Source organism: Homo sapiens, chromosome 14 (assembly GCF_000001405.40).
Source record: "Homo sapiens chromosome 14, GRCh38.p14 Primary Assembly".
NCBI lineage: Eukaryota > Metazoa > Chordata > Mammalia > Primates > Hominidae > Homo > Homo sapiens.
Window position 1 is genome coordinate 16022638 of NC_000014.9, and position 13211 is coordinate 16035848.

General features: G+C 48.8%; 3 pseudogenes, besides 1 other annotated feature; all 3 read left to right on the plus strand.

Annotated features, from left to right (window-relative positions):
- Positions 1–13211: part of a centromere (Linear centromere model derived predominantly from reads generated in PMID: 17803354. This region does not represent an actual centromere sequence, as long-range ordering of repeats and unmapped WGS contigs is not provided by the model. For details of model production, see http://arxiv.org/abs/1307.0035.) that runs on past both edges of the window.
- On the plus strand, positions 2021–3004 carry DUX4L48 (double homeobox 4 like 48 (pseudogene); annotated as a pseudogene).
- PCMTD1P6 (protein-L-isoaspartate (D-aspartate) O-methyltransferase domain containing 1 pseudogene 6) lies at positions 5424–6079 on the plus strand (annotated as a pseudogene).
- Positions 7307–8249, plus strand: DUX4L49 (double homeobox 4 like 49 (pseudogene); annotated as a pseudogene).

Genomic DNA, 13211 nt, shown 5'->3' on the forward strand with positions numbered 1-13211 from the left:
TCTGTATGTCCTTGTATGTGTGTCCCGTGTGTGTGTCTGTGTGTGTGTCCATGTGTGCTGTGTGCATGCACCCGTGTGTATCTGTGTGTGTGTCGTGGTGGGTTTGCTCGTGGTAGTGGTGGGGTGTGTCTGCGTGTCCGTCAGCTCCTGTTTCCCGGGATCAGGCTGCCGAGGCTCTAGTGCCGGCGCGGGGCAAAGCAGGGACTTCCTGTCCCGTTGGCCACGGGCGGGTCCTCGTTGGGACAAGCGACGATGGTGTGGGTATTGTGAGAAAAAGGGCCTGCGGGGCTGGGCCGGCTGTTTGCCCCTGGGCAGCCCTGACTGCTCTGGGTGTGTGGGCCAAGAGGGGGCCTTGCAGGAGGGGTGGCGAAGGATCCAAAACAATTTTTCCGTGGCAAGGCGGAGGACCAGAGGGGATCCCAGGACTGTGGGCCCCGGGCCCTGACTCCTCCAAGCACACCCTGTCTTGAGCCGGCCCGATGTGTTGGAAAATCGGGAGCTCGCGAGCCGGGGGGAAGGCCTGGAGTGTCAGCAAAAGGGAGGCTGCCTGGTGGGCCTATAGCCTGGGCAAGGGACTGAGGCATCACGGCCTGATGACGGATTCCTGTTTCCTGCAACATGGGGAGTCTCGAAAATGGCCTGTTTGGAAACGAAAGGAGAGCGAAGACACGATGCTGCTTTTCCACCCTTCGCTGGGGGTTTCTGTGTCCCCACAGAGCTCGGGAAACAAACAGTCAACATGGTCACGCTTTCGGGGGCCAGAGACACGTGAGCAGCAGGCCCACTTGCAGAGGGCAAAGGAACGTGGAATCCGGAATCATGGTTCACTCGGCTTGAGTGTGACTCCTGTGTGGATGGGAGTATCTGCCTCGCGCTCTGTTGCAGGCTCAGCGTGGGGATATGTCATCTGTGAACCATGTGGATGAAAAACGGACAACCATTCGAGTCTCGTCTCTGATCTTTGGGAAATTCGCTCATTCCTTGGGAGGTGGAATTCCTCTGAATCGCTCCCGAATGAAGTAACCCAGGCTGGTGAACCAGAGGGCCGGTGAGCACACCGCCGGCCGAGGCGGCTGTGGGCTGAGCACTCAGCCTGCACTGGGCACCCAACATTTTCCCGGAGTTCGAGGTCCTGCTGGGCCTGGAGGCAGAAGACCTCTTTTCTCTTTGCCTTCCCTTCTCTGTTTCTTGCTCCTTTTCTCCCTCTGTCCATCCTTCCCTCTGTTCTTCCTTCTCTCCCTCTCTCCCTCCCTGTCTCCCTCCCTCCCTCTGTTCTCTCCTTCCCTCTCTCCCACCATCCATACCTCCCTTTCTCCCTCCTTCCCTCCCTCCCTTCCTTTTTCTTTCCCTCCCTCCCTCCCTCCATCCCTTCCAAGGTCCGTCCTTTCATCCGTCCTTTCCTCCCTCTGTCCCTCTCTCTCACTTTGTCTCCGTTCCTTTCCCCATCTCTGCCTGGCTTCCCTCCCGCCTAGAAAGGGCAGAACCACGGTTTGCACGAGATCTCGGGGTCTACATTTAGTTCCCGGGCGCTTCACGTGATGCCAAGGAGGATGGCGGGGCACGGGTGGGCGAAGGAGGGTGGAGCGGGGAGGTAGTGGAGTTGAGCTGCGAAAAGGAGAGCAGGCCTGGCCGCTGCCCGGATCGGTATTTCCCGGGGTGGAGGTCTCCACCTACACCACTGAAGAACGCGGGGGAGGGGGGGATGTACTGTGTGGGGGAGTGGGGGAAGGGATGAGAGCCCTGCCTGGGCTGGTCCCAAACCCTAGCCGGCTGCCCGCGGACCTGCGCATGCGCAGTAGACGGCCCATCTCTGAGTACCTGGGCTGGCTCTGAAATCCTTGGGATGCTCAGGAAAGAATGACAGCCCTCCTTTCTGTGGAGTCTCTCGCTGGACTTGGACTCAGGGATCCTAGACAGGTCAGCTGGAAGGGAAGACACAGGTCTCCATACTGAACCAGAGGTTCACCGCGAAAGAGGAGCCACTGACCTGCCCCCACCCGGTCCCAACCCCGCGTCCTAAAGCTCCTCCAGCTGAGCCCAGTGTTCTTCCTGGCTGAGGAGTGGTTCCAGAAAAGCAGGCTCTTCCAAGTCCTTCAAATCCCTCAGCGGCTCCGTTGCTAGGAAAGGTTGTGTCCTTTGCTGAAATTGTGTCCTTTGCTGAAAAATGGGGTAGACAGGAGCTCATATAACAGGGTGGATGCGAGTACAGATGAAGACTCCAGCTCCTGGAGCGGTTGGGAGGGTGCCTGGATTGCTTACATCTTCTTCTGACACGCCGAGACCTCCATGGGCGCGAGCTGCGTAGATGTGCCTCGGCTTCGCGTTCCCACGAGCCCTGGCGACCAGTGGACCCTGGCCCCAGCCCCAATATGGACTCATGTGGGACGTGTGCGGCGCAAGCACACCTTGCCCCTGTGACTCAGCCTGAGCGGCCCAAGCTGTCCCATTGAGCACGCACCGAGAAAGCCACCGTACTACGGGTCCTGGTCCTGCTGCCATCTGTTCGGATGCTGAGGTCACCCAGGTGTCTGAGGGTGGGACAGCTCCACTTCCGAAGGAGCCAGGGCCGCAAATCCAAAATCCCTGTGTGCCGTGATAGGTTGGGAGATTCCTTCTGCCTGCGAAGCCTGGCTGGGCTGCAGCAGAGGGGCGACCCTTGCTGTCTGGCTCACGAAAGCCCCCTGTTCCCCACGCCCTGGCGTGGGTGAAGGCGACCAAGGAGGGAGGGTGGCACCCGCTGTAGGCCGCGTTGCACAGGCCGCCTGCGTGCGCGGGTTCCCTGCTACCCTGGCCTGGATGCCTGGACCTTCGATTCTGACACGAAATCTGAATCCTGGACTCCAATAGGCAGGTCTCTCTGGCCAGTTTGGGTACAGGTTCCGCTCAAAGCATGCTGGCAGGGCATCTTTTTCGTTCAGGTTACAAACCAGTCTCCTTTGCCGTCCTCGTCCTCGGGCTTTCGCGGGGAAGGGGCTGTTAGAAGGTGTCGGGAGAGCCATCGCGAGGGCACCTGGCTGGAATTTCACGGACAGACACAGACAGATAGAGGCCGGCGGCTCCCGTGGGCCTCAGTTGGCCTCTGTGCTGCACGCAGGTCCAGGCAGGAGTCCGACCCCGCCAGTGGCCCTTATAAAGACCCACCAGCTTCACCCCTTCATGAATATGCATGAACACCCAAGGGCCCTGGGTAACCCGCCCTCCGAAGGGCCCAGAAACCACAGACACAGGGCCTTGTGTGGTAGGTGAAGGTGGGGCCAGATCGGATGGGAAAGGGGGGCTTCTGGGACTGGCTTTCTGAGTTCTCCAGAATTCTACAGAAACTGGAAGTTTCTCTCTGGGTTCACACACGATTTCAGGGAGAAACCACCCTGGAAGGGTAGAGTGTGGAACTGAACCTCCATGATAGTCTTGAGTTTTCCAGTCCCTCTCCCTGAAGCCGGCAATGCCTGTGGGTGTCTCCATTGCCGTGATAGTCACACACGCAGGTGTGTGGATCTCATTGATTTTTTTATTTTCATTTTTTATTTCTACCTCTTAAAGTCAATGATAAAGTCATGAGTGTAAAATGAATGCATTTAAAAACATAAAAGATACGTTTCAATGACAAGAAATCTGCAATGATCATGAAAATCTACTGTACACTTTGCCAAGGTCAAAGAATGAAAGACAATATGGAAAAGCCAATCTTCAAATATATCCTTAACAAAAACTCTCTCCTACATAGTAAAAGCATCATCTAAACAGCAGCTCCAACCGAGAAAAAAAAAAACAAAAAAACAAAAAACAAAAAACAAAAACAGCAGGGTAGATGGGACAGATAACTTTCCCCAGGTTTTCCAGATAAAAACATGTGGTCACCAGGAATTCAAGGTAACTTAAAAAGCCACGTTTAATTCAAAATAAAATGAACACTTCTGACAGATGACAGCAGTATGATACTGACTTTTTTCTTTCCTAGATACAAATGATATGGGGCATTTCTTAACAGTTTAGTAATCGTCTAAGAATAACTGTAGAAATAACCCCAATTCCACCATCCCAGCCACTGGTATAAAACAAATAACCTTCCATTGACACTGTCTTTCACATAACTACAATATCCTCACTTACTTGGAACAATTTCATGCTTACACATGATCACAAACACTTGTTTTTAGATGTTGTGGAATTATTGGAGCTGAGATTTTTTAAACAATATCTGAATCTTAGCAGAGAGCAAATAATCCTTTCACTATACATTGATTGGGCTTCCTTAACCAAATCTGAGCAACTGCTATAATAATAATGCTGGTGGTAATCCATGATACTCTCAAATTTTTCCCTTTAAGAAATATATAATCCATGTAACTCTAGCAAATATGTTACACTGCACACTTTCTTAACAAGGAATGGCTGTTTTCAGGCCTTATTAGGAAAACAAAGAAACAAACAATGGCAGTTACTATCTGTTTTTTATCACTGATAAGTTACAATAAACTCAAATATGACAGTTTAATTGTGTGATATTAAGTGAAAAATGAAAACCATTATAGTTTTACCAAAAGAAACATAAAAAGTATGGGAAGAAGTCAAATGAGCATGGCATAAGTCCCAAAGATTACACTAGGATTCTGAACAGGATTTTCCAAACAAAGAGTATCTACATACAATTTCTGTGAATATTTCTTGTAGTAGAAAGTTCCAAAACAAATGTAGGCTCAGCCCTACCTTGTCAAAGATAAATATTCAGATAAATTAGAAGTTCCATCTGCTAAAGTGCATCCGCTGACCAGGTCTACCATGGCGCTGCTACTTACAGCCCTCTAAGAAAGTGGCCTCACTCATGCTCATTCACTCGTTCTGTGGCCTATCAAGTGTCACACATAACAATGGTTTTGCTTTTTTAAAAAAAACAAATACTTTATACAGTGAACTACAGAAAAAACAATTCTAAATATACTTTTAAAATTCTAGAGAGTTAAGGTAACCTCATTTTTTAAAATACTGAAAATGTAAAGTGTCCATATAAAGAGTTGTATTAAGTACATACTTCCTATTTTAATAATTCACTTGCTGTGCTCTTAAAATCTCTCTGAGAGAAGCAGATATTTTACTCGTGTATTTGGCAAGAGATTCAAAAGCAAAAGTAGCAGGGCTGTAAAATTCCATAAAATTTGTGGGATTTTTAAAAGCTAAATTATTCAATATTTTGTATTGTTATTGCACTCATATATTGCCCAGAATATATATACAGCAACCCAGCAACAGTGATTGCAACAAAAGTAAGGTAAATAGGTCTACAAAGCATTTGATTTCCTTATTAGATAAGTGAAGTTTTCATAGAGGAAGTGCAAATTCAGATCAGGTTACATAAGCTTAACAATTATTCAAACCTTATATAAAATTAAATCTAACCCTCCCCACTACAAATCTGTAAGGAATCACTGTCAGGAATCTACAGGACTTGGCTCGTATTTACATTTGATGCACACTTAGAAATTTCATAAATGATGAGATGCAGGCCAAGGGGATTCCTCAAAGGGCTCCACCCAAAAGGAAAAGAAAGAGAGTTAAACAGAGAATTACCACTTACGTATTTGTGGGTAATCAGCTTATTCCTCAGCCTCTAGACAGTGAGGAGGATGAAAAATGGAAGAAAATAATAAAGAAGAGGAAGAAAAAGATCACAGTGAAGCGATGAAGCCAGAGAAGCCACCTCAAAATTTACTGAGAGAAAAAAATCATGAAGCTGCTCTTCCCTGAATCTTTAAAAGCTTACTTGACATATTTTAGAGACAAATAACTTAGATCAAGAAGAAAGAATGCCTACTGATAATTCCTTTAGTCTTGAAAATGTAGCATTTATTAGGAATTAAAAGAATTATTTATTTCATCAGAGCAAATTATAGTGGAAAAAATATCACTTGTTACTGTCAGTAACATAAACGATGTATTGAGTGAATAAAAGAATCCCTTTTATAAAATCTATTTTTCTTTAAATCTTGGAAAATTGTTGTTTCACCTCAGAGTGATTTCAAAGTGGAATGTGACAGTTGTCAAGACTTGTGTGCTATAAATCCTTTTCTGATTCCTTACGGATCTCATTCATTTTCATGTAGAAAACGAGAGCGAAACTACAGAGAAAAGAAAGGCCCGGTGCATTACGGCCTGAAGAGGGATTCCTGTTTCCTGCAACATGGGGAGTCTCCACTATGGCCTGTTTCCAAACAGGGAACTGGAAAGGAGAGCGAAGACACGATGCTGCTTTTCCGCGGTTCTCTGGAGGTTTCTGTGTCCCCAGAGAGCTCGGGAAACAAATAGTCAACATGGTCACGCTTTCGGGGGCCAGAGATGCATGAGCAACAGGTCCCCTTGCAGAAGGCAAAGGAACGTGGAACCCGAAACCACGCTTCAGTCAGCCTGAGTGTGACTCCTGTGTGGACGAGACTATCCACCTAGCGCTCCGTTGCAGGCTCAACGTGGGGCTATCTCATCTGTGAACCATGTGGATGAAAAATGGACAATCACCCGAGTCTCGGCTCATTGCTCTCTGGGCAATTCCCTCATTCCTTGGGAGACGAAATTCGGCTGAATCGCTCTCGGATGAAGTAACCCAGGCTGGCGATCCAGAGGGCCGGTGAGAGCCCCGCAGGCCGACGCGGCTGTGGGCGGAGCACTTAGCCTGCACTGGGCACCCAGCATTTTCCCGGAGTGCAAGATCCTGGTGGTCCTGGAGTCAGAAGACTGCTTTTCTCTCTGCCTTCCTCTCTCTGTTTCTTGCTCCCTCCCTCCCTCTTTCCCTCTGTCCCTCCCGCAGTTCCTCCCCCCCTCCTTCGCTCCCTCCCTCCCTCCTTCCCTCTCTCCTTCCTTCTATCCCTCCATCCTTTCCAAGGTCCCTCGGTCCATCCGTTCTTTCCTCCCTCCATCGTTCCCTCCCTCTCTGTCTCCGTTCCTCTCCCCATCTCTGCCTGAGTTCCCTCCCGCGTAGAAAGGGCAGCACCCCGGTTTGCCCGGGGTCTCGGGTCTGCATTTAGCTGTCAGGCGCTCCACGGTGATGCCGAGGAAGCTGGCGGGGCAAGGGTAGGCCAGTGACGGTGTGGCGGGGAGGCAGAGTTGGCGAGACGCGGAAAGAAGAGCAGTCCTGGCGCCTGCCCGGGCCAGTGTTTCCCGGGATGGAGTTCTCCGCCCTCCCCACTGAAGAACGCGGTGGGGGGCAAGAGGGAAGTGATGAGAGCTCCACCTAGGCTAGTTAGAAAACCTAGGCTACTGCCTGCTAATCCGCGCATGAGCAGTAGACAGTCTGCCTCCCGGTACCTGGAGGGGCCCTGGGATCCCCGGGATGCTCAGAAAAGAATGACAGCCCTCCTCTGAGTGGAGTCTCTCACGCGACCTGGAACTCAGGGATCCTAGGCAGGTCAGCTGGAAGGGAAGACACGCCTCTCCATACCGAGTCAGAGGTTCACCGCGAAAGAGAGGCCGCCGCCCTGCCCCTACCCCGCCCCAACCCCGCGTCCTAAAGCTCCTCCAGCACAGCCCGCTGTTCTTCCTAGCTGAGGAGTGCTTCCAGCGGAGCGGGCTCTTCCACGTCCTTCAGCTCCCCCAGTGGCGCCGGATCTAGGAAAGGTTGTGCCTTTTGCTGGAACTCTGGGGTTTACAGGAGCTCATCTAACTGGCTGGGGGTGAGTGTAGACGAGCGCCCCGGCTCCTGGAGCGGTTGGGAGGTGCCTGGATGGCTTGCATATGTGCTTGACGCGGAGGTCTCTGGGGTCGCCAGCTTCGAAAGTGGAGGTGCCCCGTCTTCGGTTTCCCACGCCGCCATGGCGACCTGGGGCTCCAGCCCCACCGCGGACTCTGGTGGGACGTGGGTGGCGCAAACATACTTTGCCCCTGTGACTCAGCTTGAGGGTACCCAAGCTGTCCCACTGAGCATGCACCCAGCAGGCCGCCGTGCTGCGGGTCCTGGTCCTCCTGGCATTTTTGGGGGTGCGGAGGCCACCGAGGAGTCTGAGGGTGGGACAGTCCTACTTCTAGAGGAGCCAGGGCAGCAAACACAAAATCCCAGCGTGCCGGGGCAGGTTGAGAGATTCCTTCTGCCTGCGCAGCCTGGCTAGGCTGGAGCGGTGGGACGGCCCTTGCTCCCTGGCTCACGAAAGCCCCCTGTGGGAGAGCCCCAGGCGTGCAGGGCCTGTGGGGTGCGGCAAGCCCAGTTCCCCATGCCCTGGTGTGGGTGAACTCGATTGAGGAGGGAGGAGGATGACACCTGCCGGGGGTGTTAATTAGTAACCAGAGTGGCCTCAAAGAGCTCAAATGAAAGGAAGAATTTCACGTCTCTCACTTGAAGTCCAGAGCTAGAAATGATAAGCTTAGTGAAGATGTAAAATTTTCATGGCTAGAGAGATGTCCACACTTGGCTTCAAAACTTCAAAGGATGGGCTGACTCTCTTTGAGGACCACTGCAGTTGGTGACTTTAAGTTACAGCCAGTGCTCACTGACCACTCTGAAAATCTCAGAGCCCTTAAGAATTATGCAAAATCTATTCATTCTGTGCTCTAGAAATGGAACATTACAGTCCAAGTGACAACACATCTGTTAACAGCATGGTTTACTGAATATTTTAATCCCACTATTGAGACCTACTGCTCAGAAAAAACAACAACAACAAAAAAAAATTCCTTTAAAGGGATTGCTGCTTGGCCAGGCACAATGGCTCACACCTGTAATCCCTGCACTTTGGGAGGCCGAGGTGGGTGGATCACCTGAGGTGAGGAGTTCAAGACCAGCCTGGTGAAAATGATGAAACCCTGTCTCTAATAAAAATACAAAAAAATTAACCAGGCATAGTGGTGGTATCTGTAATTTCAGCTACTTGGGAGGCTGATGCAGAAGAACGGCTTGAACCCTGGAAGTGGAGGTTGTGGTGAGCCGAGACAATGCTACTGCCCTCCAGCCTGGGCAACAAGAAGGAAACTACATAAAGGCCAAAAAAAAAAAAAAAGAAAGAAAAGAAAAAAAAGAAAAATATTGCTGCTTATTGACAATTCACCTAGCTACCCAAAAGCTTAGATGGAGATGTACTTGGAAATTAATATTATTTTCATGGCTGCTAATACAATATCTATCCTTCAGCCTGTGGATCAAGCAGTGGTTTTGACTTTCAAGTGTTTTTATTAAATAATAAATGCATTTTGTAAAGGTATATCTGTCATAGATAGTAATTTCTTTGATGAATCTGGATAAACTGAATTGAAAACCTTTTGGAAAGGTTTCACCATTAATCCTTTCATGATATTTCAACCTCTTCGTGTGAATCATAAATGTCCTTAATAGCAAATGCCATTAAGGACATTTGTGATTGATGGGAGGAGGTTGAAATATCAACATTAACAGGAGTTTGGAAGAAGTTGATTCCAGCCCTCATGGAAGACTTTGAAGGCTCAGGATGTCAGTGGAGGAAGTCCCTACAGATGTGGTAGAAATAGCAAGACAACCAGAATTAGAATTAGGGCCTTTAGATGAGATTAAATTGCTGTAAACTCATTATGAGACTTGAGCATCTGGGGAGTTGCTTCTTATGGATGAGCAAAGAAAATATTTTCTTGAGATGGAATCTACTCCAGGTGGAGACGCTACGAACATTGTTGAAATAACAACAAAGGATTTAGAATATTCCATAAACCTAGTTGATAAAGCAGCAGCAGGGTTTGAGAGGGTTTACTCCAATTTTTAAAGAAGTTCTACTGTGGATAAAATGCTATCAAACAGCATCACATGCTACAGGGTAAATCTTTTGTGAAAGGAACAAAATTCATTGTTTTAAGAAATTTACAAAAGCACCCAACCTTCAGCAGCCCCCACACTGACCAGTCAGCAGCCATCAACATAGAGGCAAGACCCTCACTGTAAGAGAAAAGAAAGAGAGATCAGACTGTTACTGTGTCTATATAGAAAGGAAAGACGTAAGAGACTCCATTTTGAAAAAGACTTGTACTTTAAACAATTGCTTTGCTGAGAAGTTAATTTGTAGCTTTGCCCCAGCCACTTTGTGACTCAACCTGGAGCTCACAAAAACATGTGTTGTATGAAATCAAGGTTTAAGGGATCTAGGGCTGTGCAGGATGTGCCTTGTTAACAAAATATTTACAAGCAGTATACTTGGTAAAAGTCATCGCCATTCTCTAGTCTCAATAAACGAGGGGCACAATGCACTGCAGAAAGCCGCAGGGACCTCTGCTCTTGAAAGCGGGATGTTGTCCAAGGTTACTCCCCATGTGATAGTCTGAAATATGGCCTCATGGGATGAGAAAGACCTGACTGTCCCCCAGCCCGACACCCGTTAAGGGTCTGTGCTGAGGTGGATTAGTAAAAGAGGAAAGCTTCTTGCAGTTGAGATAGAGGAAGGCCACTGTCTCCTGGCTGGCCCCTGGGACTGAATGTCTCAGTATAAAACCTGATTGTACATTTGTTCAATTCTGAGATAGGAGAAAAACCGCCCTATGGTGGGAGGCGAGACATGTTTGCAGTAATGCTGCTTTGTTATTCTTTACTCCACTGAGATGTTTGGGTGGAGAGAAACATAAATCTGGCTTACGTGCACGTCCACTCATAGTACCTTCCCTAGAACTTAATTGTGACATAGATTTTTTTGCTCACATGTTTTTTGCTGACCTTCTCCTTATTATCACCCTGCTCTCCTACTACATTCCTTTTTGCTGAAATAATGAAAATAATAAGCAATAAAAACTGAGGGAACTCAGAGGCTGGTGCCTGTGCAGGTCCTTGGTATGCTGAGCGCCGGTCCCCTGGGCCTACTGTTGTTTCTCTATACTATGTCTCTGTGTCTTACTTCTTTTCTCAGTCTCTTGTCCCACCTGACTAGAAATACCTACAAGTCTGGAGGGGTGGGCCACCCCTTCACTCACCAGCAAAAAGTTTATGACTTGGTAAGGCTCAGATATTCATTAGTATTTTTCAGCAATGAGGTATTTTAAGTTAATGTATGTACATAGTTTTGTAGACATAATGCGATTACTAATTAATTAATTAATAATTATTAAATACTCATTAGACTACAACATAGTTTAAGCATAACTTTTATAAGCACTGGGAAACAAAGTGTTTATGCGATTAACTTGTTTGTAACATTTACCTTATTGTGGTTGTCTGGAACCAAACCCACTATCTCTGAGAATGCTTGTAGGTTTTTGGTTGTTCTTTGTTTTGAGATAGGGTTTCACCTGTCACCCAGTCCAGAGTGCAGTGGCATGATTATAGCTCACTGCAGCCTCAAACTGCTGGGTCAAGTGATTGTTCTACCACAGCCTCCTTAGTAGCTGGGACTACAGGCATGCAGCACTATGCCTGGCTTTTCTTTTTTTTTTTTTTTTTTTTTTGAGACGGAGTCTCGCTCTTTTGCCCAGGCCAGAGTGCAGTGGTGCTATCTCGGCTCACTGCAGCTCCACCTCCCTGGTTCATGCCATTCTCCTGCTTCAGCCTCCTGAGTAGCTGAGACTACAGGCGCCCAAACCAGGCCCAGCTAATTTTTTTGTATTTTTAGTAGAGACGGGGTTTCACCGTGTTAGCCAGGATGGTCTCGATCTCCTGACCTCGTGATCTGCCCGCCTCGGCCTCCTACAGTGCTGGGATGACAGGCGTGAGCCACCTCGCCCGGCCTGCCTTTTCTTTCTAGTGGCACAAGCCCCGTGGAGTGTGGTGTGTCTGATCTCCAATGCTTTTGAACAGTGTAGACAGTATTCCTGTCTGAATTTAATTTTTTACTACACGTATGGTCTCGATCGACCACAAGAAGATCAATAAGCCCTTCTCCTTATTCTACTTCCCTTTCTAGCAATGGAGAACTTTGATTGGATTTTTCCTGCCTACAGACAGGAATGAGTCTGCTGTTTTCTTTTTTAAACCCGAGGGGACTGAGCCTGAGGGCCTCGAGCGCGGCCACCCTCCCCCAACCCCCAACTGGTGATTGTGGTGGTGGTGGTTTTGTGTTCCAGCTTCTGTTTTGTTGTTGTTGTTGCTGCTGGTGGTGCTGTCGTCATTGTTTTGGTATCTTACAGACTCAGGGGGTGTACGTGCTTGTTTGTTAGATCGGCCTACTGCTGCCTCTGGTTGTAGAAGTGGATCTCCAGTGTATCCGATACCCACGTGGCGAACATTGTCTCTGACAGGTGATTTATTCATCCCTTGTCCCCCTCTTACCCTCCTCCTCCTTTTTGGAGTGTCTTCTATTTCCATCTTGATGACCGTGTGCGTACCCACTGTTTACCTCCCACTTGTAAGCAGAAAGCAGTTCACTGGGTACATACTTGCTTCCAGCTCTATCCATATTGTGGGAAAAGACGTGAAATCGCTCTTTTTTGTGCCTGAACCATTAGAGAATTTTAACTTTCTTGGTGGTTGTTTTCCTTTTTTCTTTTCTTTTCTTTTTTTTTTTTCTTTTCTTTCTTTTCTTTTCTTTCTTCCTCCTCCTCCTTCTTTTTTTCATTGTTTTCAGCTGGGCTCTCCTACTTGTGTTGCTCAGTTGCTCGGGCTTGTCTCAAACTCCTGGCCTTGACACTTCTCCCGTCACATCCACGGTCTAGTTGTTGAAATGAGCATCTCTTGTAAAATTGAAAAGATGAAAAAAATAAAGAGAAAGACAAAAAGCACGGGGTGAACGTTTCTCTTGCCGCCTCCCAGGGTGTACCTTGGACCCCATAGGAGGGAGGGAGCTTGGCTGGGTGGGTTTTCGGTGCTAAATCCTCCTGAGGGCCTCCTTCCCTCTCCCCCTTGTCCCCGCTTCTCCCCCAGCCAAGGCTCCCACCGCCGCGATGGGATTTTCCATGGGAGAGGTATGGGAGAGGACTGACGCGGCTTCCAGATCTATATCCTGCCAGACGTCTCTGGCTCAGCGTCCCCCACCAGCTGCCTGCCACCTTCCAGGGAGCTCTGAGGCCGATGCCCCGCCCCGCTTCACATCCCGCCACCCTCCTCCAGCTGGCCTTTGCCCGGCGACCCCAAGGGAACGACGTTAATGCTGCTTTCGAATCCTCCAGCGAAGACTTCCACCAGATGCCCCGGGTGGGCCGGATGGGATGGACTGGATCACCCCGGACCATGCTGTTCTTGGGGGTGGGTTGACGTACAGGGTGGACTGGCAGCCCCAGCATTGTAAAGGGTGCGCAGGTATGGAAATGTCACATAGGATGCCCTCCTTTCCCTCAGCCTGCCTTCAGCTTCC